A 26,785-nucleotide genomic window follows, 5' to 3' on the forward strand; every position below is an offset into this window, starting at 1 on the left:
TGACCTCGTGATCCGCCTGTCTCGGCCTCCCAGAGTGCTGGGATTACAGGCGTGAGCCGCCGTGCCCGGCCAATTTTTGTATTTTTATATAGAGACTGAGTTTTCGCCGTGTTGGCTAGGGCTATCTTGAACTGGCGTCACTCAAGTGATTTGCCTGCCTCGGCCTCTCAAAGTGTTGGGATTACAGGCATAAGCCACCATACCTGACCTGCAGTTATTTCAAAGTAAAAAGGTTTTACTAAACAGTTAACATGTTTGGATGTTAGTATTTAATGTCCATGTGAGAGATGGTCTTTTTAAAAAAAAATCTTAACTGGAAAAATACAGTTCTGGGAGAAGTAAACATTGAACTGTATACTAAGTTTAAAAAAAATAATCCAAGGCTTCGCTCTGGGAATACATGGGGAAGGATTGCTTCTGCCTCCACCCAGATATGGGAGGATCTCTCAACCATGCTTCCCTTGCCCCCCTGCTGCCTGAGAGCATGCTGGAAAGAGGGTTTGATAATTCCCACTTGAAGTCATGTTGAATGTTTTTCTATGGTGGCAGATTTTAAAGCATTTCTGTTGGTTCATCCAAGAGCAGTTAATGTTTTTCTTTTTTTTTTCCTAAGGACTGGCTCTCACTATGTTGTCCAGGCCGGTCTTGAACTTCTGGGCTCAACGAATCTTCCTGCCTCGGTCTCCCGAGTAGCTGGTACTACAGGCATTCACAACTGTACCCAATTTAATCCTCTTCATACATTGCATTTGTAGTATTGTAGTTCACAAAACATTTCCCCATAGTGCCACCTTTAATCCTTGCTGTCTGCAGCCTGAGGCAGGTGGTATTTTCATCCTCATTTTTCACCCACCACCAGAAAGGTAAGTGATTTGCTGTAGGTCCCAAAGCTGCCAGGTTGGAGAGCCCAGGGGCAAATTCCAGGCTTCTGACTCTAGGACTGTGGGCACTCCACAACACTAGTGAGCCTGGAGTCCCGGGTCTCCAGAAACATTTGAGGAACAACTTGTATTTGCCAACTTTTTTTTATGAGATGGAGTCTCACTCTGTCGCCTAGGCTAGAGTGCAGTGGTGTGCTGTCGGCTCACTGCAGCCTCCGCCTCCTGGGTTCAAGCGATTCTCCCGCCTCAGCTTCCTGAGTAGCTGGGATTACAGGCGCCCGCCCCCACACCCGGCTAATTTTTGCATTTTTAGTGGAGATAGGGTTTTGCCATGTTGGCCAGGCTGATCTTGAACTCCTGACCTCGTGATCTGCCTGCCCTGGCCTCCCAAAGTGCTGGGATTACAGGTGTGAGCCACCATGCCCGGCTGTATTTGCCAACTTTTTATTTTGTCAAGGAAAATATCTTTAAATTAGTGATCATTCACCATTTCCGTTTTTCATAATTAGCAAGATTGTCTTTATCACCAAAACTATAGGAATAAAATAAAGGACAGTCCTTTAAGTTGAAAATATTTACTAAAATCTTTATTTCTGGCTGGGCGCGGTGGTTCACGCCTATAATCCCAGCACTTTGGGAGGCCGAGGCTGGCGGATCACTTGAGGTCAGGAGTTGGAGACCATCCTGGCCAACATGGTGAAATCCCGTCTGTACTAAAAATACAAAAATTAGCCAGGAATGGTGGTCTGTGGCTGTAATCCCAGTTACTCAGTAGAGTGAGGCAGAAGAATTGCTTGAACCCACGAGGCGGAAGTTGCAGTTGAGCTGAGATCACGCCACTGCACTCCAGCCTGGGTGACAGAGCAAGACTCTGTCTCAAAGAGAAAAAAAAAAAAAGCTCTTTGATATAATAATACTGTTGCAGTCTGAACTATGAACCATTGCACTGGACTTCACATTTTTAAATATTTCAGAATGGCATTGATAGCAAGATTTTAGACTGGCATTGCCTCGCTCGGTTGCTTGCTTTTTTTTTTTTTTTGAGACGGAGTTTTGCTCTTGTTGCCCAGGCTGGAGTGCAATGGCGCGATCTCGGCTCACTGCAACCTCCATCTCGCGGGTTCAAGCGATTCTCCTGCCTCAGCCTCCCGAGGAGCTGGGATTACAGGCATGCACCACCACACCGGGCTAATTTTGTATTTTTAGTAGAGATGGAGTTTCTCCAAGTTGGTCAGGCCGGTCTGGAACTCCCAACCTCAGGTGATCCACCCGCCTCAGCCTCCCAAAGTGGTGGGATTACAGGTGGGAGCCACTGTGCCCGGCCGGTTGCTTTCTAAGAATAATTTTCAATGTGCCCTTGATGGCGTGACTCTGTCAAAGTTCAAGGAGTCACCAAGACTCCTAGCTCAAGTGTATCATTTCAGCTCACAGCCCAGGATGGGCCAGCTCCAGAGGTCAGGAAACCAGGAGGTGGGTTGAGTCTCTGAATTTCAGAGCCTAATTTGGTCTCTCTCAAGTGAATATCCACTTCAGGACCATTCCCTAGAGTTGCTGGGAAGGCTGTAAGACTTATGAAATACCCCGAAGACAGGTGGGGCCATACCTGTGAGGGTGTTGCCACTGTACCTGTCCATTCCACAAACATCTGTTCATCCACTCATGCTGAACTAACTTGGGCATGTTTCTTTTCCAACAAGTGCCATGAACCTCATAGTGTAATTAGTGAGAGGTCAGAAAGATGGCCATTGCACCACAAACATAATGTTTTGTGGTTGAAGCTTCTGTAACTGCATGTTGTGGGTGGGCTGGATTCAGGAACAAAAGAAAAATGAATCCCTGTGTGTTAAACCATCCCAAACCACCAAGAAGTCATGTTTAAAATCCCAATACTTCATTTACCACTTGATCCTGCCTTGGGTTTGTTTTCAGAGAAGCTGCATGTTGCTGGTGCCCAGGATTGAATCATAAAAATTGTAAGAATAGGCTTTGCTGGTGCCAGGTTTGAATAAATGTGGTTGCAAGAACAGCATTGTTCATCGTTTCGCAGCTTTCGTTTAAAGTTAGATTAGTAGGGGCAGCGGAGTGTTGCGTGTGGGTGGGTGCTGTAGGCTTATTGCCAGCAGTGTGCCTCACTAAATATCCTCTTGAAAGGGAAGTTTCTGCTCACCCTGAAGACTGCTGGATCAGTTAGTGAGACAAATTCCAAGAAGCTGGCTTGGATGTCAAATTGGTCTTGGGCTCATAGAGAGGAATGGATTTGTTGCCCTGAAAAGGAGCGATAACTCTAGTTTTTAAACATTTGTTTTAGTTCAGATAATTACTGCCCTTATTCATTGTGTCCACCTGAGTCAGAAAGCATTGCTGCTGTTGCCTGGTCTAAGGGAGGAGGACCCAGGCATGTAACGGACTGCATGCTGGCCAGTTGTGGTGGTCAGAGCAAGCTGGAGGCCAGCGAGGCCCTTCAGGGGTCTTTTCAAGGGTCTGCCTTGGGGAGCAGAGGAAGATGAAGTGAGGCAGTCGTTATAGCAAGGGCACACCCACGTTTCTCATTTTGAACAGTGAAGAAAGCAGATGGAAAGCCACATGTAGGGCATTTGCTGAAGACAGGTGTGTTGGGGGCGTGTGTGTGTCCTCTGAGGCATTTTGGGTGGGGCGATATTTTGACCGAATGATACCTTGTTCTTCAGTGCTTCAATGGTTGATGGGGTGGCTTTTTTTCGAGATGGAGTCTCTCTCTGTCATCCAGACTGCAGTGCAGTGGCGCGATCTCGGCTTACTGCAGGCTCCGCCTCTTGGGTTCACGCCATTCTCCTGCCTCAGCCTCCCTGAGTAGCTGGGACTACAGGCACCTGCCACCACGCCTGGCTAATTTTTTTGCATTTTTTTTGAGATGGAGTCTCGCTCTGTCGCCCGGGCTGGAGTGCAGTGGCGCGATCTCGGCTCACTGTAACCTCCGCCTCCCGGGTTCAAGCAATTCTCCTGCCTCAGCCTCCTGAGTAGCTGGGATTACAGACGCCTGCCACCACGCCCAGCTAATTTTTGTATTTTTGGTAGAGGTGGGGTTTCACCATGTGGGTAGGCTGGTCTCGAACCCCTGACCTCGTGATCCACCCGCCTCAGCCTCCCAAAGTGCTGGGATCACAGGCGTGAGCCACTGCTCCCGTCCAATTTTTTTGTATTTTTAGTAGAGAGGGGTTTCAACGTGTTAGCCAGGATGCTATCGATCTCCTGACCTCATGATCCACCAGCCTCAGCCTCCCAAAGTGCTGGGATTACAGGTGTGTGCCACTGTGCCTGATAGTGGGGTGATTTTCTACTTCTAACTCTCTAATGTGTCACATGGCTTTTTTTAATAGATTGTCTGTATCAACTGGGGGTGAACTTTAGTCTTTTAACAATTTTCAGACTATGAAGTTTGGATGTAAACACCTCTAATGTGGGAAGTTAGTTTTTTTTAAAGTATCTGTATGGAGTTATGGATATATATAAATTTAATGTGTTGAATCTGTTTTATTTTAGTAACATCTTTTGAAAATGTTCAAACATAGAAAAAAGGGTGATACAATTTTAGTGAACACTTAGGCCGGGGGCAGTGGCTCACTGCCTGTAATCCCAGCACTTTGGGAGGCCGAGGTGGGCAGATCATTTGAGGTCAGGAGTTTGAGACCAGCCTGGCCAACATGTTGAAACCCCCGTCTCTACTAAAAATACAAAAGTTAGCCTGGCATGGTGGTAGGTGCCTGTAATCCCAGCTATCCGGGAAGCTGAGGCAGGAGAATCACTTGAACCTGGGAGGCGGAGGTTGCAGTGAGCCGAGATCGCGCCACTCCGCTCCAGCCTGGGCAACACAGTGAGAGTCCGTTTCAAAAATAATAATAATAAAAAATTTAAGCTGGGCGCAGTGGCTCAACGCCTTTGTAATTCCAGCACTTTGGGAGGCCGAGGCAGGCAGATCACTTGAGGTCAGGAGTTCGAGACCAGCCTGACAAATGTGATGAAACCCCGTCTCTACTAAAAATACAAAAAAAAATTAGCCAGGTGTGGTGGTGCATGTCTGTAATCCCAGCTACTTGGGAGGCTGAGGCAGGACAGTCTCTTGAACCTGGGAGGCAGAGGTTGCAGTGAACCGAGATCGTGCTGTTGCACTCCAGCCTGGGCAACAAGAGTTAAACTGCACTTCAAAATATAATAATAATAAAATAAAAAATTTAATGAACACCTACCTGTATGCACAGCCTAGGTTTTGCTGTGGGCATTTAACTGCTTGTGTTTCACATATTTGTCCATCCACTTATAATTCTTTTCACTTTTCACTTTATTGATTGATCAGAGACAGGGTTACACTTTTGTTGCCCAGGCTGGAGTGCAGTGGTACAGTCATAGCTCAGTGCCATCTCAAACTCCTGTGCTTAAGCAGTCCTCGCGTCTCAGCCTCCCAAAGTGTTGGGGTTATAGGCGTGAACCACTATGCCTGGCCAAATATATGTATATATATTTTTGTATATATTTTTTTAAATTTTATTTTTGTTTTTTATTTTATTTTTATATTTTGAGACAGAGTCTTGCTCTGTCGCCCAGGCTGGAGTGCAATGGCGCGATCTCAGCTCACTGCAGCCTCAGCCTCCCTGGTTCCAACGATTCTTCTGCCTTAGCCTCCTGGGTAGCTGGGATTACAGGTGCACTCCACTACGCCCAGCTAATTTTTGTATTTTTAGTAGAGACAGGGTTTCACCATGTTGGTCAGGCTGGTCTCGAACTCCTGACCTCAGGTGATCCACCCACCTTTGGCCTCCCAAAGTGTTGGTATTACAGGTGTGAGCCACTGCGCCTGGCCACTTTATTTTGATGATGCATTTCAAACTAAGTAGCAGGAAGTTGCAAGTCTTCCCTCTACATATTATTAACTAGAATTTAATATTTATTTACAGTTCTTTTTTGGGGTGGCGGGGGTCAGGGTCTCACACACTTTTTTTGCCCAGGCTGGAGTGCAGTAGCACAGTCTTGGCTTACTGCAGCCTCCATCTCCTGGGCTCAAGTGATCCTCCTCCCTCAGCCTCCTGAGTAGCTGAAATTAACGGCAGGTGCCACCATACCTGGCTAATTTTTTTTTTCTTTTTTTTTAAGAAGGAGTTTCGCTCTTGTTGCCCAGGCTGGAGTGCAATGGTGTGATCTCGGCTCACTGCAACCTCCGCCTCCTGGGTTCAAGCGATTCTCCTGCCTCAGCCTCCCGAGTAGCTGGGACTACAGGCACGTGCCACCAATGCCCAGCTAATTTTGTATTTTTAATAGAGACGGGGTTTTGCCGTGTTGGTTAGGCTGGTCTCAAACTCCCGACCTCAGGTGATCCACCTGCCTCAGCCTCCCAAAGTGCTGGGATTCCAGGCATGAGCCACCGCGCCCTGCCTACCTGGCTAATTTAAAAAAAAATTTTTTTGGAGACCAGGTCTGATTATGTTGCCCAAGTTGGCCTCGAACTACTGTGCTCAAGTGCCTTGGCCTCCCAAAGTGCTGTGATAACAGGCGTGAGCCACTGCTCCTGCCTCACTTTATTTTTATGATGCATTTCCAACTAAATAACAGAAAGTTCTAATCTTCCCTCTACATACTAACAAGAATTTAGTATTTATTTGCAGCTAGGTTTTTATTTTTTTCTTTAAAAATTTTTTTTGTAGATTCACTCAGGCTGGTCTTGAACTCCTGACAAGTGCTGCTCCCAACGTGGTGAGCCACCATGCCCAGCCTCTTTTTTCTTTTTAAATAATGCACAGATCTTTAGTATACCAGTCAGTGAATTCTGGCCACTGCATATACCCAACTCTTGTCAGGAGGGAGAATGTAACCTTCATCTCAGAAAGCTTGGGAGGGCCCCTTCCCATGTGATCCCTACCACCGTTCCCCAGAGGCTGTCCCATCACTGATTAGTTTCGCTTATTCTAGAACTTTATGTAGGTGGAAGCATGATTCTTTTTGAATTTGTTCCAAATGTAGCCAGTGGGACACCTCACAAGTCAGCTCCGATGTCCTCAGGACAAGACTGCTATAGTCACCAGTGCTTTGTTGCTTTCTGGCGCTCCGGTAGGATCCAGGCTCACTTGGTATATCCCCTGCTGCAGATTACGGTCCACTTCTCCCGGGAGCTGCTTTCAGTAGGTTTTTGTTGTTGTTATATTTTTGTTTATTTATTTATTTCGAGACATTCTCTTGCTGTGTCAGGTAGGCTGGAGTTCAGTGGTGCAATCTCGGCTCATGGCAGTCTCCTCCCCAGTTCAAGGAGGTCAAGGAGTTCAAGACCAGCCTGGTGAACATAGTGAAACCCTGTCCCTACTAAAAATACAAAAATTCGCCGGGTGTGGCGACACACACCTGTAGTCCCAGCTACTAGGGAGGCTGAGACAGGAGAATTGCCTGAAACTGGCAGGCAGAGATTACAGTGAGCCGAGATCACACCACTGCATTCCAGCCTGGGCGACAGAGCAAGACTCTCTCAAAAAAACAAAAAGTGTTGGCTTTGCATCGTGGCTCACACCTGTAATCCCAGCACTTTGGGAGACTGAACTGGGAGGATCACTTGAGCCCAGGAGTTTGAGACCAGCCCACGCAACATGGCAGCAACCCATCTCTACAAATAATTAAGAACAAAAAATCTATTATGGAATTTTTAAAACATGCACAAAAGAATTACAGTATCCATCACCCAGCTTCAACAGCTGTCAGTGTTCTACAGTCTTGTTTCATCCTTCTCTACTTTCCTTTTTTTTTTTTTTTGGAGACGGAGTCTTGCTCTGTCGCCCAGGCTGGAGTGCAGTGGCACGATCTCGGCTCACTCACTGCAAGCTCTGCCTCCCGGGATCATGCCATTCTCCTGCCTCAGCCTCCCTATAGCTGGGACTACAGGCACCCACCACCATGCCTGGCTAATTTTTTGTATTTTTAGTAGAGACGAGGTTTCACCGTGTTAGCCAGGATGGTCTCGATCTCCTGACTTCGTGATCCGCCCGCCTTGGCCTCCCAAAGTGCTGGGATTACAGGCGTGAGCCACCACGCCCGGCCTCATCCTTCTCTACTTTCTGCTCCCTGGTATATTTCAGAGCAAATACCAGGTATATAATTTTAGCCATAAATTTGTCTTAAATATGTGTGGAACAGTTAAAGTTGGTTCTTTCCAGCACAACCACAGTATTATTCCCCTAACTGAAGTAACTATAATTCCTTCATAAGGATTCACTTCATGAACAAGATTCCCAGTGTCGTTGCGACTATCCAGGGAAACCATAGCCAAGGGAACAGGCTTGGCAGAATCAGTGGCGAAAGAAGGCCCTGTGGAGCTTGACTCTGGCTCGGTGAAGAGACATGGGTGATGGAGGAGAGGATGCCCTTTGCACACACATCACTCACGCCTGGCCCTCATTGCAGCCTGGGAAGGCAGATTTTTTTCAACAGTAGGATCTAGTACCAATTGTTAGGTCTATGGGATATGTGCTGCATGCTTCAAGTAGGTTGACTTGTTTCATTTTCCTAGTCCTGCCGAGAGTAGAGGGGCCTCTTCCGTGTTGCTAATGCAAGAAGGAAGCTAGTGGCTGGGCAAGTGGGGTTTCAGGTCCAAGTCTGTGCAGAAGCTTTCCTTGGGCGATCGATCGAGTGGCTTGCCCCATGGTGTGAGTCTCAGGCATGTTGAGCCACTGAGCCCAGGGACTGGCTTTCTGCCCTTTTCATCCCATGCCCCCTCACACTCCTTCCCTCCTGCATCCCTACCCTGACATGAAGCCTTTGACCTCACCATGTCCTGTTGCTGGGCTTTGCAGGGGCATCATTTGACTCCTAGGGGTTTTTTGTTTTGTTTTGTTTTAAATGAGACAGAGTTTTGCTCTTGTCACCCAGGCTGGAGTGCAATGGTGTGATCTCGACTCACCGTAACCTCCGCCTCCCAGGTTCAAGCAATTCTCAGGCCTCAGCCTCCTGAATAGCTAGGATTACAAGCATGTGCTACCACACCCGACTCATTTTTTGTATATTTAATAGAGACAGGGTTTCACCATGTTGGCCAGGCTGATCTTGAACTCGCGACCTCAGGTGATGCCTCTGCCTCGGCCTCCCTAAAGTGTTGGGATTACAGGCGTGAGCCACCGCGCCTGGTGACCCCTAGGTTTTATTTATTTATTTATTGAGACGGAGTCTCGCTCTGTCACCCAGGGTGGAGTGCAGTGGCGCGATCTCAGCTCACTGCAACCTCTGCCTCCCGGGTTCAAGTGATTCTTCTGCCTCAGCCTCCTGAGTAGCTGAGACAACAGGCATGTGCCACCACACCCGGCTAATTTTTTGTATTTTTAGTAAAGATGGGGTTTCACAGTGTTAGCCAGGATGGTCTCGATTTCTTGACCTCGTGATCTGCCTGCCTTGGCCTCCCAAAGTGCTGGGATTACAGGCATGAGCCACCGCACCTGGCCGGTTTTATTTATTTATTCATTTATTTTTTTTGAGGTGGAGACTCTATTTGCCACGCAGGAGTGCAGTGGCGCAATCTCAGCTCACTGCAACCTCTGCCTCCCGGTTTCACGCTGTTCTGCCTCAGCCTCCCTAGTAGCTGGGATGACAGGTGCACGCCACCACATCTGTCTAATTTTTGTATTTTTAGGAGAGATGTGGTTTCTCCATGTTAGCCCAGCTAGTCTCTAACTCCTGACCTCAAGTGATCCACCCACCTTGGCCTCCCAAAGTGCTGGGATTACAGGCGTGAGCCACCTCGCTCAAGCACCCTTAGGTTTTAAAGTTTAACCTTGGGGTGTTTAAATTTTGCAGTTAGATTTGCTAGGTAGTCCTGGGTATTTTGGGAAGTTCTTGTTTTGGCAGCATGTCAGACTTTATCCTTGATGCTTGGGCCTTTCAGGTTTGAGCCTGCTCTGCTGGCTCGGAACTAGTTTAGTCGGAAGGGGCTGGCAGTTGCCTGTAGGGGGTAGATTCATCTGGTGTGTATTATGCTGATGGGGTTTTTTGGTTGTTTACTCATTTGGAAGATTTCAGTATGGACCAGACTGTTTGTGTAGAGTGGGAATTGAGTAGGTTGGAGTCGGCATGATTCTGAGACCGAAATAGTAATTATGGCTTCGTTTGTCCTGAAGGATTCTGTCGTGCACTTCAGTTGTCTCAGCCTCTTCAGAGTTGAACGTGATGTGGTTGTCATCGTCCACCTGATATTTCAAATGTTCACTTTTCGGGAGGTTCTTTCTTTTTCATTTTACAGAAGCCTTTTGGGACCCTTTGTCATATGTCTTTCTTCCTTCCACCTCTTCATTACCATCAGAGGTCAGAGCTCCTTCCCTCTCTTTTCCTTCCCCAAGCACCAAGATTTTGATGTGAACATCTTTTTTTTTTTGTTTTTTTTTTTTGAGATGAAGTCTTGCTCTGTCACCCATGCTGGAGTGCAGTGGTGTGATCTCTGCTCACTGCAGCCTCCGCCTCCTGGGCTCAAGCGATACTTGTGCCTCAGCCTCCCGAGTAGCCGGGACTACAGGTGCCCACCACGCCCGGCTAATTTTTGTATTTTTAGTAGAGATGGGGTTTTACAGCGTTGGCCAGGCTGGTCTTGAACTCCTGACCTCAAGTGATCCACCCATCTCAGCCTCCCGAAGTGGCAGGATTACAGGCGTGAGCCACTGTGCCTAGCATGATGTGAACATTTCTACCTGTAGTGTTTTTTGGAGAGCTGTTAATATTTTCATACTTGTAAAAATGGGCATATTTATGTAAAGGAAGATAAAAGAAGTAAAATACCATCTGAGTGGCTTGTGGGCCTGAAGTCAGTTCTGGCTTCTAGAAACCATCTGTTTTCATTTTTAGGGTGTTACGTAGTTAATGCCTTGGCTTAGCAGTGGTTACTTGGAAATAAAGATGTGTCCTGCTGTGTTGACAGGCCCTTCATGAGGCAGCACACATGTCATTCTTGCTACTGTGTACCTAGCTGCTGAAATGAATCCTATAAATTATATGAAACTAAAAAGATTTTCTGATCTTATAGAGTTGAAGTATTGATAACACCAAGGAACTCTATCACAATTTGAAAAGATAAGCAAAAGTTTGATTTCCAGACACTACAGAAGAAGTAAAAATGGTAAGTTTGTTTTTGATCACAGATACTGTTTCTTCACTCATGTACAGAGATGTTTGTAGCCTTTTCCAAAGCATTTGCTTCCATTACCATTTTTATTAGCCCTTTTGGATTATAAAGCAATATTATCTATTCTGTATTCCATTCTGATAGTGTAGGAACGAAGTCAGTGCCCCATTACTCCCACTGCCCAGAGACAACAGCTTTTCAGTTTGCTTGTCCCTCCTTGGTTCTTCAGTTGTGCTCCTGCAGGCTTTGCTTTTACACACGAGCGATATAGCATCATTCTGAATTGTGCAGCTTAAAAGATGAACGTTGGGCTGCTTGCTCTCTTTACATCATTTTTAACTTAATTCTCACATCCCTAGCGTCCAATGCGAATTTTTGTGAATGATGACCGCCATGTGATGGCAAAGCATTCTTCCGTTTATCCAACACAAGAGGAGCTGGAGGCAGTCCAGAACATGGTGTCCCACACGGAGCGGGCGCTCAAAGCTGTGTCCGACTGGATAGACGAGCAGGAAAAGGGTAGCAGCGAGCAGGCAGAGTCCGATAACATGGATGTGCCCCCAGAGGACGACAGTAAAGAAGGGGCTGGGTAAGTGAGGTTTTCCGTTGTCCTTTTCTTTTTTGTAGGGTAGCCAGGGTAGAGGTTGGCACCTGTTTTCTAAGAAACTCCAGCCTCTCTGGGGACCTCTGGGTTGTGGTCAGACTGAATTCCTCACTGAGCTGGGTGTTGGTCTGTCCCTCAGGGAACAGAAGACGGAGCACATGACCAGAACCCTGCGGGGAGTGATGCGGGTGGGCCTGGTGGCAAAGGGCCTCCTACTCAAGGGGGACTTGGATCTGGAGCTGGTGCTGCTGTGTAAGGAGAAGCCCACAACCGCCCTCCTGGACAAGGTGGCCGACAACCTGGCCATCCAGCTTGCTGTAAGTGTGGCCACCACTGCCGGGTAGGTGGGTGGGGGGGTGGTAGGCATGCTGATTGAGGATGTGGGGCCCAGGAAGAAGTGTCCTGCTAGGCTGTGCTCCAAGAAGCACATGCCACACTTGCCCTGGCACTTGCTGTGCGTGTGCCTTCTCAGTAGGTGACAACCAGGACACCACCAAGCCACAGAGATTCTGTGGAACCTGACTGCAGGGGTCATAAGGACCCCGTGCCTATTGTGTGCCAGGCTGCACCAGCCCGAGGTCATTGGGCATAAACTTCACGTCTAGGCTCCATTGGATGGATGGCTAGATAGATAGCAGAGTTGTTATCTCTTCCATTGGATCCAAAGCTGAATGTAAAGAATTTTTTTTTTCTTTTGGGACGGAGTCTCGCTCTGTTGCCCAGGCCTAGAGTGCAGTGGCTCGATCTCAGCTCACTGCAACCTCTGCCTCTGAGGTAGACAATTTTCCTACCTCAGACTCCCAAGTAGCTAGGATTACAGGCATGCACCACTACACCCAGCTAATTTTTATATTTTTAGTATAGACAGGGTTTCACTATGTTGGTCAGGCTGTCCTCTTAACTCCTGACCTCAGGTGATTCATCCACCTCAGCCTCCCAAAGTGCTGGGATCACAGGCATGAGCCACCTCGCCCAGCTGAAAATCTTTTCTATATGTTTATTTTTTATTTTATAAATAGAGATGGGTTCTTGCTATATTGCCCTGGCTGGATTCAAACTCTTGCCCTCAAGCAGTCCTCCTGTCCCCAGCCTCCCACAGTGCTGGGATTAGAAGTGTGAGCCACCACAAACAATTTTTTTTTTTTTTTTTTTTTTTGAGATGGAGTCTTACTCTGTTGCCCAGGCTGGAGTGCAGTGGTGCAGTCTCGGCTCACTGCAACCTCTGCCTCCTGAGTTCAAGCGATTCTCCTGCCTTAGCCTCCCGAGTAGCTGGTATTACAGGCACATGCCACTACGTCCAGCTAATTTTTGTATTTTTAGTAGAGATGGGGTTTCGCCACGTTGGCCAGAGTGGTCTTGAACTCATGACCTCAAATGACCCGCCCACCTCGGCCTCCCAAAGTGCTGGGATTACAAGCATGAGCCACCACGCCTGGCCGTTTTTATTTTTTTAAGATGAGGAAGGTTTCGCTCTGTAGCCCAGGCTGGAGTGTGGTTGCGCAATTATGGTTCACTGCAACCTCCACTTCCAGGGCTCAGGTGATCCTCCCATTGCAGCCCCCTGAGTAGCTAGGACTACAGTCATGTACTACCACCCCGAGCTAAAAGATCTTTTAAAAAAAAAAAAAACATTTATTTGTTTCATTGTGAAAGTATTGCGTAAATAATGGCTTCTGTTTATTGAGTGTTTGCTAAAGTCAGGCCCTCAGCCAGATGTGCTCTTCATGTGTGTTATTTCATCCTCCTCTAAGTGGGACAGATGATGTGACAGAGCTGCAGGGCAGCTGAGGAGTGGATCCCAAGACCCACGGCTGGGCTGTTTGGAGGCATCAGAACCTCTGCCAGCTGTTGCCTCCTCAGGACACAGTCCCCCTGAATTTATTTATAGGATAAGCAAAAAAGAAGTGTACAATCATCTATAAATCTTTGACAGAGTCTTGCTCTGTCATCCAGGCTGGAGTGCAGTGGCCTGATCTGGGGTCACTGCAACCTCTGCCTCCCTGGCTCAAGTGTTTCTCCCACCTCAGCTTCCCAAGTAGCTGGGACTACAGGTGTGTGCTACCACACCCAGCTATTTTTTGTATTGTCTGTGTGTATGTGTGTGTGTAGATACGAGGTTTTCCCATGTTGCCTAGGCAGTTCTTGAACTCTTGATGACAGGCCTGAGCCACCACAGCCTTTGAATCTTTGAATCTTATTCCTTGGAAAGAAAAACCTGATTTACTTTCACAATGCAGATTTGTGTTCTTTCACATGGGACTGACGATTTTGGGTTCAGGACAAAGATCAGGATTAAAATACGGAGCTAATGTAAATGCATTAGATACTTCTGCGGAGCTATTGTAGATGAAGCTGTGAAATTTTTCTAGTGACAATTTTCTTTTTTTTTCTCCTGAAGGTACATCAGCATAGAGGTAATTCCTTTTCTTTTTTGAAACAGTCTTGCTCTGTCACCCAGGCTGGAGTGCTGTGGTGCGATGTTGGCTTACTGCAGCCTCCGCCTCCTGGGTTCAAGTGAATCTCCTGCTTCAGCCTCCTGAGTAGCTGGGATTATGGGTGCCCGCTGCCATGTCCAGCTAATTTTTGCATTTTTAGTAGAGACCATGTTGGCCAGGCTGGTCTCGAACTCCTGACCTCAGGTATTATGCCCGTCTCTGCCTCCCAATAGTTCTGGGATTACAGGCGTGAGCCACTGTGTCCGGCCCATAGTGGTAATTTTTTGGCAGAGGGGGGTGTGGGGGCGGGACAGAGTTTCGCTGTTGTTGCCCAGGCTGGAGTGCAGTGGGGCGATCTCAGCTCACTGCAACCCCCGCCTCCCGGGTTCAAGCGATTCTCCTGCCTCAGCCTCCTGAGTAGCTGGGATTGGAGGCATGCCCCACCACGCCCAGCTACTTTCATGTTTTTAGTAGAGATGGGTTTTCTCCATGTTGGTCAGGCTGGTCTCGAACTCCCGACCTCAGGTGGTCTGCCCGTCTTGGCCTCCCAAAGTGCTGGGATTACAGGCGTGAACCACTGCGCCCGTCCATAGTAGTAATTCTTAAATTAACTTTATTCTTGTCTCTATCTAGCAAGGATATTAAGTGAAGTAAATTGTCATAAATGTTTCTACAGTAAAAACATTTGTGAGAAACCATTCCTTTTTTTTTTTTTTTTTTTTTTGGAGGTGGAGTCTCGCTGTGTCGCCCAGGCTGGAGTGCAGTGGCGCCATCTTGGTTCACTGCAAGCTCCGCCTCCTGGGTTCACACCATTCTCCTGCCTCAGCCTCCCGAGTAGCTGGGACTACAGGCACCTGCCACCACGCCCAGCTAATTTTTTGTATTTTTCGTAGCATCTCTGGTCTTTACCAGGTGAAGTTTCATCTGTGTTAGCCAAGATGGTCTCGATCTCCTGACCTTTTTTTTTTTTTTTTTTTTTTTTTTTAAGGGAGGCAAGGTCTCTTGCTCTGTTGCCCAGGCTTGGGTACAGTGGTGCAATCACAGCTCACTGCAGCCTCAAGCAATCCTCCCACCTCAGCCTCCTGAGTATCTGGGACCGCAAGCATGTGCCACCATGTCTGGCTAATTTTTAAAATTTTTTGTACATACGAGGTTTCATTATGTTGTCCTGGCTGGTTTTGAGCTCCTGGCCTTAAGCTATTTGCTTGCCTCAGCCTCCCAAAGTGCTGGGATTACAGGCATGTGCCATTGAGCCTGGCCAATAATTATTCCTTAAAGATGAAAATAATAGGTATTTTTAAAATCATTTTCAGTGGTTCCTTAAGAGGGGTGAATCACTCTCCTCCCCTGATAACATTTGGTAGTGTCTGTTGACAATGCGGTGTTGGGGTGCTGTGGTGCTGTCAGCACCTGATAGGTGAAGACCAGAGATGAACACCCTATCATGTGCAGAGTAGTCCCCCCAACCAAGAATTATCCAGCCCAGAAGGTCAGTTGTACTGAGGTTGAGAAATCCTGTTTCAGATTTTTCAATGTATTTATTCTCCTCCCAACATATTTACTTAACTTCCTTCAGCTTGAATTTTCTTCTTTCTTTGTTTTGTTTTTTTTTTTTTTTTTTTTTTGAGACTGTGTCTTGCTCTGTCCCCCAGGCTGGAGTGCAGTGGCACAGTCTCAGCTCACTGTAGCCTCCGCCTCCCCGCCTCAGCCTCCCAAGTAGCTGGGATTACAGGGCCTGCCACCGTGCCGGGCTATTTTTTATATTTTTAGTAAAGACAGGATTTCACAATATTGGTCAGGCTGGTCTCGAACTCCTGACCTCAAGTGACCCACCCACCTCGGCCTCTCAAAGTGCTGGGATTACAGGTGCGAGCCACTACCCTCAGCCAAAAGCTTGAATTTTCTTTGTCAAGTCATAAGAAGGTGGTATCAAGAATGAAAATAGTCGTGAGTGTCCTTGTAGATGTGCATTTGCAGCAAGTACATACGTTTAGATGCACCATAGGATACTGCACACTGACTGTTTCACTGCACACAGGGTTTATTCTACACTGGCTGCTCATCCCAGCATGGAAGTAGCAGTGGCTGGATGCCCACTCTGCAGTGTCCACCGCTTTCCCCGCAGCGTCTGTTTGAGGCTTCCAGCAGCCTTGTGGTGTAGTTCGTGTCATTAAGTCCATTATACAGATTAGAGTCTGTATGAGAGTGATTTATCCAAAGTTGATCAACTACTAAAGGGCAAAAGGGGGGTCTCCTCCTCCTGGCTCCTGGATCCGAAACTCTTTGCCATTGGTTTTTTTTTGGAGACTGAGTCTCACTCTTGTCACCCAGGCTGGAATGTAGTGGCGCGATCTCAGCTCACTGCAGCATCTGCCTCCCTGGTTTAAGCGAGTCTCCTCCTTCAGTCTTCTGAGTATCTGGGACTACACGCTTCCACTGCACCCAGCTAATTTTTGTATTTTTAGTAGGGATGGGGTTTCACCATGTTGGCCAGGTTGATCTTGAACTCCTGACCTGACCTCAGCTGATCTGCCCACTCAGCCTCCCAAAGTGCTGGGATTACAGGCGTGAGCCACCTCACCTGGCCTAACATTGCTTTTTTGTTTGTTTGTTTTTTTTTTTTTTTTTTTTTTTTTTTGGTTTTTTTTTTTTTGAGACAGAGTCTCGCTCTGTTGCCCAGGCTGGAGTGCAGTGGCATGATCTTGCCTCACTGCAAGCTCTGCCTTCCGGGTTCACGCCATTCTCCTGCCTCAGCCTCCTGAGTAGCTGGGACTACAGGCACCCGCCACCACGCCCAGCTAGTTTTTTTGTATTTTTAGTAGAGATGGGATTTCACCCTGTTAGCCAGGATGGTCTCGATCTCCTGACCTTGTGATCCGCCCACCTCAGCCTCCTAAAGTGCTGGGATTACAGGCGTGAGCCACTGCACCTGGCCTAACATTGCTTTTTTGTTTGTTTGTTGTTTTGTTTTTGTTTTTGTTTTTGAGATAGAGTCTCGCTCTGTCGCCCAGGCTGGAGTGCAGTGGTGTGATCTCAGCTCACTGCAAGCTCCGCCTCCCGTGTTCACGCCATTCTCCTGCCTCAGCCTCCCGAGTAGCTGGGACTACAGGTGCCTGCTACCACGCCCGGCTAGTTTTTTGTATTTTTAGTAGAGATGGTGTTTCACCGGGTTATCCAGGATGGTCTCGATCTCCTGACCTCGTGATCCACTCACCTCGGACTCCCAAAGTGCTGGGATTGCAGGCATGAGCCACGGCTCCCAGCCCTACCATTGCATTTTTAAGCACCGTTTGGAAATCGCTTCTTTCACTAGTTATCCCTCTTTCAAGTACCCAAAACGTGGCCAAAGACCTGGCCAATTAGAGAGACCCTGACATCCCAGGTGAAATCACTTCCGGGTCATCATACTCAAGACGTTGGCCTTTCTGTTGCAGGAATAGGTGGAGCCAGATAAAATTGTTGATTGCTTTGAGGAGAAAGTGTTTTGAAAGTTGCATTTTATTTTTTAGGCTGTAACAGAAGACAAGTACGAAATACTGCAATCTGTCGACGATGCTGCGATTGTGATAAAAAACACAAAAGAGCCTCCATTGTCCCTGACCATCCACCTGACATCCCCTGTTGTCAGAGAAGAAATGGAGAAAGTATTAGCTGGAGGTAGGGAGGCCGAGACACGCCGGCAGGACTTTGAAAATGTGGTGTTCCCTCACTATTCAAATGTGCTATTCAGTTTTAGACTGCTTTGGTATACGGTGTAGATTGACCACCTTTACTCTGAGATCACATCTCCCGTTGGCTTTGAGTACTTGGGAGTTTGACAAAACAGTCGCACTAAAAGTGAGTAGCACTTTTCATAGGGGACTGCACCATTTTCCTTTATCTTCATCCTTGAACGTTCTCAAACATGAATGTGGAAGTTGCTTTTCTATGGAGCCATTCTCTGGCTGTGGAGAAGTGTCCCTGGTGATTCCATGGTTTTAAAGATGAGACAACCAGATGGTTTCTGCATGAGCACCACGTTGGAGTTTACCAACAGCCTGTGCTGCAGCTGAGCTGAGGGCCTCTTCGTTTGTCCTCTGTCATGGCTCTTTTATCATTTAAAGTGACAGAAGCACAAAGAGCTGATACAGAGTTTTGGATAAAGTTTTAAACTGTTGTCCAATTTTTCAAACCACATCATTGGACCTCACGCTAATAATGTGCTCGCAGTCCATGGCCCGCCGCTCGCATGCCTGTCTTCAGGCCTTATCCAAACCCCTGGTGTGCAGATGGCAGAGAAGATAAACGCTCTGCTTGGCCGCAGCATAGGCTGGCATAGCGCCCTTGTTGCTGTTTACCTTTGGTTCTCATAGCTGATTCCGACTACCAAAGCCCTTCTAGTTGATCAACGTAGGGACGCTGGACCTTTGACCAACAGGACTCTCTCTGTCAAGGGCTGGGGCTAGGGCAGTCCCGCCTGGTGGGCGGAGTTGGTCCCCTTTGCTGCAGATGCCTTGGGATGGCTGTTGTGTGATGCAGAGAGGGAGTTCATTTCCTCTCCCTCGGCCTTTTTAAATTTTTTCCTATTGAACATTTTAGCATAGCTAATTTATTGGGAGAACATGGGGAGGAGGCAAGGGAAGAGGATTAGAAGATAGGCTCCACCTATCTCTCCCCTCCCTCATGAGATTATTCCTTTTAGAATAACTCCCCACTTTTGTTTTTATGTTTGTTTTATTTTTTCTTTTTCTTTCTTTTTTCTTTTTCTTTTTATTTTTGGAGGGGGCCTCCAATTTTTACAATTTCCTCACAGGGCAGAGTTGAATGTGCTCTAGTTTCTCCTTCCCTGGTCCAGGGTGGAGATGAATTCAGCTTCTGGGAAACTCAGCTGCCCTTTAGAAAGCTGCCACATCCCCTTTCCACCTGACAGAAACCCCTTGGTCAAACTGTGCCTTGTCTTCTTATTCCATCCATGAATAGAAACGCTATCAGTCAACGACCCCCCGGACGTTCTGGACAGGCAGAAATGCCTTGCTGCCTTGGCGTCCCTCCGACACGCCAAGTGGTTCCAGGTTTGCATTTTGTTCTTCTATTTGTCTTTTGGTAGAGAATTCCTAAGTTTTAACTTGGCTAACTGTCACCATAAAGATTCCTTAACATTGACGATAGCCGTGCCGAGCTTAGCACCTGCAGCTGCGCAGGTCCTAAAGGAGTGCACCTCAACAAATTCGACCCCAAAAGAGGCTGAGACTGAGTTGGTGGGCTGCTGCTGCTGCTGCTGCTTTGTGTTAAGAGTAACACTCTCTTGTACACGTAGTGACATTGCGGCTGGCCACAGCCTTGGTGGTCGCCAGTGTTGACTGTTTACCCTTGGCAAAGCAGCAACCTGACACTTGTGTCGTTCATGTTGACTTGTGCCCTGGGCGGTGCCTCAGACTGAAGAGCCTGTGTTTTGTTCCCCTAGGCCAGAGCCAACGGGCTGAAGTCTTGTGTCATTGTGATCCGGGTCTTGAGGGACCTGTGCACTCGCGTGCCCACCTGGGGTCCCCTCCGAGGCTGGGTAAGGCATGTTGCTGTGGCTACTGGGGGTGGTGTGTGCAGAGTCTTTTGGATATCCCAGGAACACTTGATGGTCACGGGGCAGGAGTGGCCTCTTGACGCGTGGCTGGTGTGTACTCTCCAGAGCTGCCTGTGGAGCTGCTCCTGCTTGCCACACCTGGGGTTGGGGTTGGGGCAGTGTGGGTCGGGGCCCTCTGCAGGGTCGCACAGCTCAATCCCAGGAGTGGGGGCTGACCAGGAGGTGGGAATGATCCCTCTGGGAAGGTTTGTAGATAGTCTCACGCAGGACCAGTTTTTGGCAGTTGCACCCTTTTTTTTTTCAGCTTGCAGTTGAGGTGGTTTTTATATTTGTAAATAAATGGTTAGATTTTAAGTAAGAAGTACTACATCATAACCTTAGCTTGGTCTCTGAGCTCACACAGCCTGCTAGGATGTCATGTCTGGTCCTTGAAGGCCCCTGTCCTAGATGCCCTGGCTCAGGCTTAGCCCTGAGGCTTTGACTTTACCCGACTGGTTGGCTATGAGTCCCACGTGTGCCCCGACCCACTCATGCAGTGACAGCTCCCCAGTGGCGGCCGGCCCCATCCTGTAGGCTCTTGGCTCACTGTCCCTCTTCCCTTTCAGCCTCTCGAGCTCCTGTGTGAGAAATCCATTGGCACGGCCAACAGACCGATGGGTGCTGGCGAGGCCCTGCGGAGAGTGCTGGAGTGCCTGGCGTCGGGCATCGTGATGCCAGGTTGGGGCCTTGTGCTTTGCAGGTTGCAGGGAAAGGACAGGGTTCCAGGCCGCCTCCTGGCGGGTACACTGACTGGGTTAGGACAGCAGCAGCCCCGTGTCCACCCCCTAGAGCTGAAGCATGTGACTACCCTCTGGCACCATCATATCCAGCCCTGACCGGGTCCGCAGCCGTCATTCAGAGGGCGGATCCGGGGCAGTGGTGACCCACTCCCACGTGACTTTCTTGCTCTGAGACACTTGTGAATTATTTCTGTCAAGGGCTGGACGCCGAGTGGGTCACCGAGCTAGGCATGTTTTCCAGAGCTGGGTGTGGATGGGGCGCGGGGGGTAACACACCTAGTTCCCTCAGCCAGCACACCTCTTCAGAGATGCTAAAAGATAATCCTCTGCATATCTTCCTTGTTTCCTGCCTTCAGATGGTTCTGGCATTTATGACCCTTGTGAAAAAGAAGCCACTGATGCTATTGGGCATCTAGACAGACAGCAACGGGAAGATATCACACAGAGTGCGCAGGTATAGTCATCGCCATTGCCAACGTGCGCCCTGACCCAGTCTGTAATCACTGGCTTCCAGTTCCATTACTGGGTATTCCCAGGGTAGCCCCTGGACTCGTAGGCTCAGGTCGGGGACTGAAGGCAAAAGGATTGTGTCTGATACAGGGCGCCCCAATCTGGGCTGCTTCTTTCCCCTGGTGCCATGCGTGGTTTTCATCTGCCCCCTCCCTTGGCTTGCTCGAGTGCCGTTTTCAGACACTGTGAGTGGTGCTGGGAGATGTGTTTGCTGTGCGGACTGCTCCGGGGGGACCTTCCCCTGCAGGCCCCCACATGGCTCCGTGTGGCAACCAGTCCCCAGGTTGGGGTCTCCTGTATTCCTTTGGAAGGGGGGTGGTCACAGGCTGGCCTTCCCCCACAGCAAGGCTGGGCTTGAGCAGTCAGGCTCTCCCCTGGCTGGTGGGGGACCCCTTGCTGTCGTAAGGGAGACCATTAGCAGCCCTTCAGCTCTGCCCCTCCTCAGAAGGCAGTAGTGAGCACACACTCCATGGCCGGGAGCACAGGGCAGCTGAGTCAGAGCCTCTTCCCCTTCTCCAGCACGCACTGCGGCTCGCTGCCTTCGGCCAGCTCCATAAAGTCCTAGGCATGGACCCTCTGCCTTCCAAGATGCCCAAGAAACCAAAGAATGAAAACCCAGTGGACTACACCGGTAAGCCTGCGGCGGTTGCCTGATGGCTGGGGCTCCAGGAAGAGTCACCATCTGCATCTCCCAGCCATGCCCTGGTCTCTCCTTGCAGTTCAGATCCCACCAAGCACCACCTATGCCATTACGCCCATGAAACGCCCAATGGAGGAGGACGGGGAGGAGAAGTCGCCCAGCAAAAAGAAGAAGAAGATTCAGAAGAAAGGTACAGGCCGGGCGCGGTGGCTCACGCCTGTAATCCCAGCACTTTGGGAGGCCGAGGCGGGAGAATCGCTTGAGCTCAGGAGTTTTGAGACCATCAGCCTGGGCAACATGGCGAAACCCCGTCTCTACAAAAAATACAAAAATTAGCTGGGTGTGGTGGCGCACCTGTAGTGCCAGCTACTTGGGAGGCTGAGATGGGAGGATGGCTTGAGCCTGGGAGGCGGAGGTTGCAGTGAGCAACTGTACTCCAGCCTGGGCAACAGAGCGAGACCTTGCTTAAAATCAGTGTTGAAAAATTTTAGAAGCTAAATAGGTAAAAAAGCAGGAAGGTGCAGACCTCCACTAGTGCTGCTGCTTTATCCATCTGGTCCTGTGAAGGCTCACCCTGAAGCTATGGGATGGCTGCTTTTGTTTCATTTTTCTCACTTGTGATTTCTGAGTCCTTTTAACAATGATGAGGCATGATTGGGGATGTGGAAGATGAGTAGGATGGTGGTGCTACAGCTGGAGGCCACAGGAGAGGTGCAAGCTGGGCTCAGTTTGTGTGGCTGCCCCACCCACTGTGTTACGCCACAGAGGCAGCCCTGGGGGTTAGGATTGGCAGAGCTCTCGTGGAGACCTGCCATCGTGCTGATCCAGAGCCACCTTGCTATTCTCTCTGTAGAGGAGAAGGCAGAGCCCCCCCAGGCTATGAATGCCCTGATGCGGTTGAACCAGCTGAAGCCAGGGCTGCAGTACAAGCTGGTGTCCCAGACTGGGCCCGTCCATGCCCCCATCTTTACCATGTCTGTGGAGGTTGATGGCAATTCATTCGAGGCCTCTGGGCCCTCCAAAAAGACGGCCAAGCTGCACGTGGCCGTTAAGGTGAGTGTGGCCAGCATCACTGTCTTCTAATAGCAGAACCATGGTCTTTGTTTTGGGCCCCTTCTGAGCCATTGTCTCTCAGGGAGGGCATGTAGATTCTAAAAATACACATGGTTAGATGGCGAGTATTTGCCAAGTCACGTGGCAAGAACGCCTTCCCACTGTGGCTGGCAGGCAGAGGGGTCCCCAAACATGATTGGGGCATTAGGGCCTCCTGGGAGCAGGAGCTGAAAGGAAACAGCCCTCCTCCAGATGGCTTCCCGGGTGGGTGCCTGTAGGCCATGAGGAGGCCCTGCATGCAGCCCTGCTTCACTGGGACCTTGGGGGTCTTGCCACCTCTGCAGGTGTTACAGGACATGGGCTTGCCGACGGGTGCTGAAGGCAGGGACTCGAGCAAGGGGGAGGACTCGGCTGAGGAGACCGAGGCGAAGCCAGCAGTGGTGGCCCCTGCCCCAGTGGTAGAAGCTGTCTCCACCCCTAGTGCGGCCTTTCCCTCAGATGCCACTGCCGAGGTGAGCACATGGTGGGCGCTGGGAGTGACTGCCTGGACAGAGCAGGCAGCCATGTGTCCTGTCAGTGAGGTGGTTACTGGTCCTTGTTAATTTGCCCCAAAAAGTGGACCTTTCAGGCCAGAAGTCCGCACAGGAAGCTGGGTGCTGCCCTCCGAGCCGTGTCGGGGAGGGCCTTGTGGATGTTGTCCCAGCATCCTATAGGCTACACTGGGGTGGCCTTGGGTTGATAACGTGCTGTTCAGAGGGGAGGCACAGGAAGGGGGCACATTGCTGGAAGGCCCTCACTAGAGTCAGTGGAGACTCTGGCAAGGGCTGGCAGTGTATGAAGAGCAGAGGCCCTGCCTCAGTCCTGCCACTCCTCCCATGTGACTGGAATGCCCATAGCTGAGTTTGTCGGTCTTCTTTTCTGTTTTCCCTGAGAACGTAAAACAGCAGGGGCCGATCCTGACAAAGCACGGCAAGAACCCAGTCATGGAGCTGAACGAGAAGAGGCGTGGGCTCAAGTACGAGCTCATCTCCGAGACCGGGGGCAGCCACGACAAGCGCTTCGTCATGGAGGTGCGCAGCCTGAAGCTGCCTGCTGGGGCAGTCCCATGGGGAGGCCTGGGGTCCCCCTGCCCCTGGAGGGAGGCACTGAGTCATCTCCATCTGCACTTTCCAGGTCGAAGTGGATGGACAGAAGTTCCAAGGTGCTGGTTCCAACAAAAAGGTGGCGAAGGCCTACGCTGCTCTTGCTGCCCTAGAAAAGCTTTTCCCTGACACCCCTCTCGCCCTTGATGCCAACAAAAAGAAGAGAGCCCCAGTACCCGTCAGAGGGGGACCGAAATTTGCTGCTAAGGTGAGCAGTGGCCCTTGAACCTCCTTGCCCAGGCATGGGTTCTTCTGCAATGTGAGCACGAAGGGAATGTCACTTCCCTGTGTTCTCTTCTAGCCACATAACCCTGGCTTCGGCATGGGAGGCCCCATGCACAACGAAGTGCCCCCACCCCCCAACCTTCGAGGGCGGGGAAGAGGCGGGAGCATCCGGGGACGAGGGCGCGGGCGAGGATTTGGTGGCGCCAACCATGGAGGCTACATGAATGCCGGTAAGGGCCCTCATACTGCACTGTCCCCGCCTTCCCCACGTGCATGCTCTGGGAACAAATGTGTGGGGCTCCTGGGGTGGGCCGGAGACACTGCTGGACCCCGGTAACCCTGTCTTTCCCTTTCCAGGTGCTGGGTATGGAAGCTATGGGTACGGAGGCAACTCGGCGACAGCAGGCTACAGTAAGTGTGCGTTTCTGTCTGTCTGACCTGGGAAGCAGCTGCAGTGTAGCGTCTGGGCCTGAGTTAGCAAAGGGTGGCCAGAGCAGCCTCGAGGAGGCTGTAGAAGGGGCACACACCTTTTTGCGGTGATTAGGTCAGACGGCCCTCGACCCCCACCCCTTCCCGGCCCCACAGTGGGATTGATTGTGTTAATACACGAACTCGTGTAACTGCAAAGTTCCTTAAAAGTTAGAATTTTAAATTTCTCTGCTTTAAGCCATGCGAAGCACCAATCTTGTGAATACGCTTTTCCGGCCAGTGCACAGCTCTTGTCTTGAGAAGGAGCCTTCATTGGGGGGTTACAGGAGCAGAGAAATCTAAAACATGAATTTCAAATGTGGCGCTCTGTGCCCTTTTTCAAAAGAATTCTAATTTCTTCTCTCTGCTCTGTCTCCCCCTTTTGTAGGTGACTTTTTCACAGACTGCTACGGCTATCATGATTTTGGGTCTTCCTAGAGCGTCTAAAAGTATTGCACACAAAATCAACTTTTTACTCCAATTTCCTCCAACTCCAAAACCCAAAGTGTCCGTGCTGTGTCCCTGTGCTTCACTGGGTTTCTCAACCGTGGCTTTTCACCGCAGCTTGTCTGAAACTCTTAGCCTGCAGAATTTAAGACAATGGCAGTTTTTATCGTGATTTGCCTTTGAACTTGGTCCTATTGAAGTTCACAATAAGTGGAAAACAATTTTTTCAGAGAATGTATTTTTGTGCAGAATTGCACAGAATTCTAGAGACAGCGTTGTTCGGCATCAAGGCAAAAGCCCACCTTTGCTTTTTATGGAAAGCATTACTTTATTTAAAGAGACAGACAATGACGCATTTTAATCTACCTTTGTCTTAATTTACAGCAGGTTTTGTATGAATTTTTAACCTTTTAACAAACTCCCAAATCTGGTTGATGCCTTTGACAGTGATGAAAACGATTTCACCACATCTGAATCCAGAGAAACCGGCTTTTTTTCTTATTGCGAGCATGTTAAAACGTTGGGAACATGTGGGGAATTGTATATTGCGCTGAATTAACTTCTCCCGCCTCTTGTAATGCTCTGGTGGGTTCTTGTTTGGGAATGCGATATTTTGTGGCTGGTTTAGCTAGAGAGTGAACTCTCAAAGGTATCAAAACTGTGCTTCCATTATTAGTGCAAGAAACAGACAGGCTTTAAGGGGTAGATGACGTGAAATTTTGCAAGTCTTAATTACAGCTGCAGATGCATGGGATTCTGGATTTTTTTGTTGCTTTTTAGTTTAATGGGACTTTAAAAGTAATTGAGGAGAAAGAACCGTGATGTTCCCTGTTTCTCCAGTAAAGGACTGGCTTTTGCTTGGGCAGAGGTGGTGCTGCTGGGTGTGCAGCTGCCACAGACTCCAAAGGCGTAGAAGTTTGTGCCAACACACGGAGTCATTCTGGCTCTCTGCTGAGGCCCCTGTTTTCTGGCAGGTGCCCTCCTTGGAAACTGGTTTTGGCTCTGATCAGCGGTTCTTTTTGCAGCAAAGCCTGCATCTGTGTTGACTTGCAAGATTTTGCGTTTATTCAGGCAAAAACTGGTCAAAATGGTTACTACATGATTTGTTCCCAGAGGTTTGAAACATTCAGTGAAACTTTTTAAAACTTTGATTGCATGATGTATTTTTTTTTTAGAAAGTTATTGTTTGAGAATAATGTCTTTTTATACCAGGAAAATAGTTATCCTGAATGACGTTGAAAACTCCCCCTCCCCTTTATTTTTTTTTAATCAATACATGTGAAAGTAACAAGCCCTCGGCCCTTGCGTCTTCATTCATTCCCGGCTTCAGGCGGGGCGAGGTGGTGTGCTCAGTGCAGGACACTGGGGAAGCTGGGGCTGTGGGGCTGTGGGGTGTGGGTCCTGGTGGGGGGGTTCTGAAGATCCCATCCTCCCAGTCTCCTCGCTGAGCTGCCGCATGTTCGCTTTCTGGCATTGTGGGACACATCCTCCCCCTTGGTGTCTTGGCTTTGTGATGGCGGGCGAGGGAGGAGGCCTGCCTGAAGAACACAAACTGAAGGTTGCAGATAGTTCTGTCCACGTTGTCATGCAGGCAGCCCACCACACCAGCGTGGGGTACACATCTCCAGTGGGTGGAGGCACGTGAGGACTCCCAGTTACCCTACCCAGGAGGCGGTGGGCCCTTAGTGTCCTCAATCTGGGAAGGAAGGACAGGCAGCGTGGGAGCCTCCCCTTCCCTCCCACCCACCCTGGGCCTGGAGGTCTGGGCAGCCTGACTGGGCAAAGGTGGCTGCATTCACAAGCCGACCCGCTCTGAGAGCCCAGGAACTCAGCTGCGCCTGGTGAGCGCTTGGGCGTTGGCCAGCTTGGCTGGAGAGCCACCACCATGACCCAGCCTCCCACCTCACCCACCCTCTGAGCCTTCCCACACCCA

The 26,785-nt window shown here is 49.4% G+C and overlaps 1 protein-coding gene across 28 annotated transcripts in view; it reads left to right on the plus strand.

Moving 5' to 3' along the window:
* The window catches only part of ILF3 (interleukin enhancer binding factor 3), a 38,055-nt gene that overhangs the window by 5,277 nt on the left and 5,993 nt on the right, over positions 1-26,785 (plus strand). For 6 of the 28 annotated variants that reach the window (NM_017620.3, NM_001394813.1, NM_001394815.1 and 3 more), the window contains exons 2-17: positions 10,894-10,986; positions 11,352-11,581; positions 11,736-11,913; positions 17,541-17,688; positions 18,991-19,082; positions 19,475-19,570; positions 20,194-20,305; positions 20,724-20,821; positions 21,397-21,508; positions 21,597-21,707; positions 22,371-22,570; positions 22,915-23,082; positions 23,503-23,640; positions 23,744-23,920; positions 24,014-24,167; positions 24,295-24,348. In NM_017620.3, coding sequence (NP_060090.2) covers positions 10,984-10,986; positions 11,352-11,581; positions 11,736-11,913; positions 17,541-17,688; positions 18,991-19,082; positions 19,475-19,570; positions 20,194-20,305; positions 20,724-20,821; positions 21,397-21,508; positions 21,597-21,707; positions 22,371-22,570; positions 22,915-23,082; positions 23,503-23,640; positions 23,744-23,920; positions 24,014-24,167; positions 24,295-24,348 — 2,071 coding nt within the window. In that variant the 5' untranslated portion in view covers positions 10,894-10,983. Of the gene's footprint in view, positions 1-6,869; positions 7,028-10,893; positions 10,987-11,351; positions 11,582-11,735; positions 11,914-17,540; positions 17,689-18,990; positions 19,083-19,474; positions 19,571-20,193; positions 20,306-20,723; positions 20,822-21,396; positions 21,509-21,596; positions 21,708-22,370; positions 22,571-22,914; positions 23,083-23,502; positions 23,641-23,743; positions 23,921-24,013; positions 24,168-24,294; positions 24,349-24,793; positions 26,144-26,785 lie in introns of those variants that run through there. The other 22 variants (NM_012218.4, NM_001394814.1, NM_001394817.1 and 19 more) reach the window with 13 other exon arrangements.

The sequence above is a fragment of the Homo sapiens genome, chromosome 19 (genome assembly GCF_000001405.40).
Source record: "Homo sapiens chromosome 19, GRCh38.p14 Primary Assembly".
Lineage (NCBI taxonomy): Eukaryota > Metazoa > Chordata > Mammalia > Primates > Hominidae > Homo > Homo sapiens.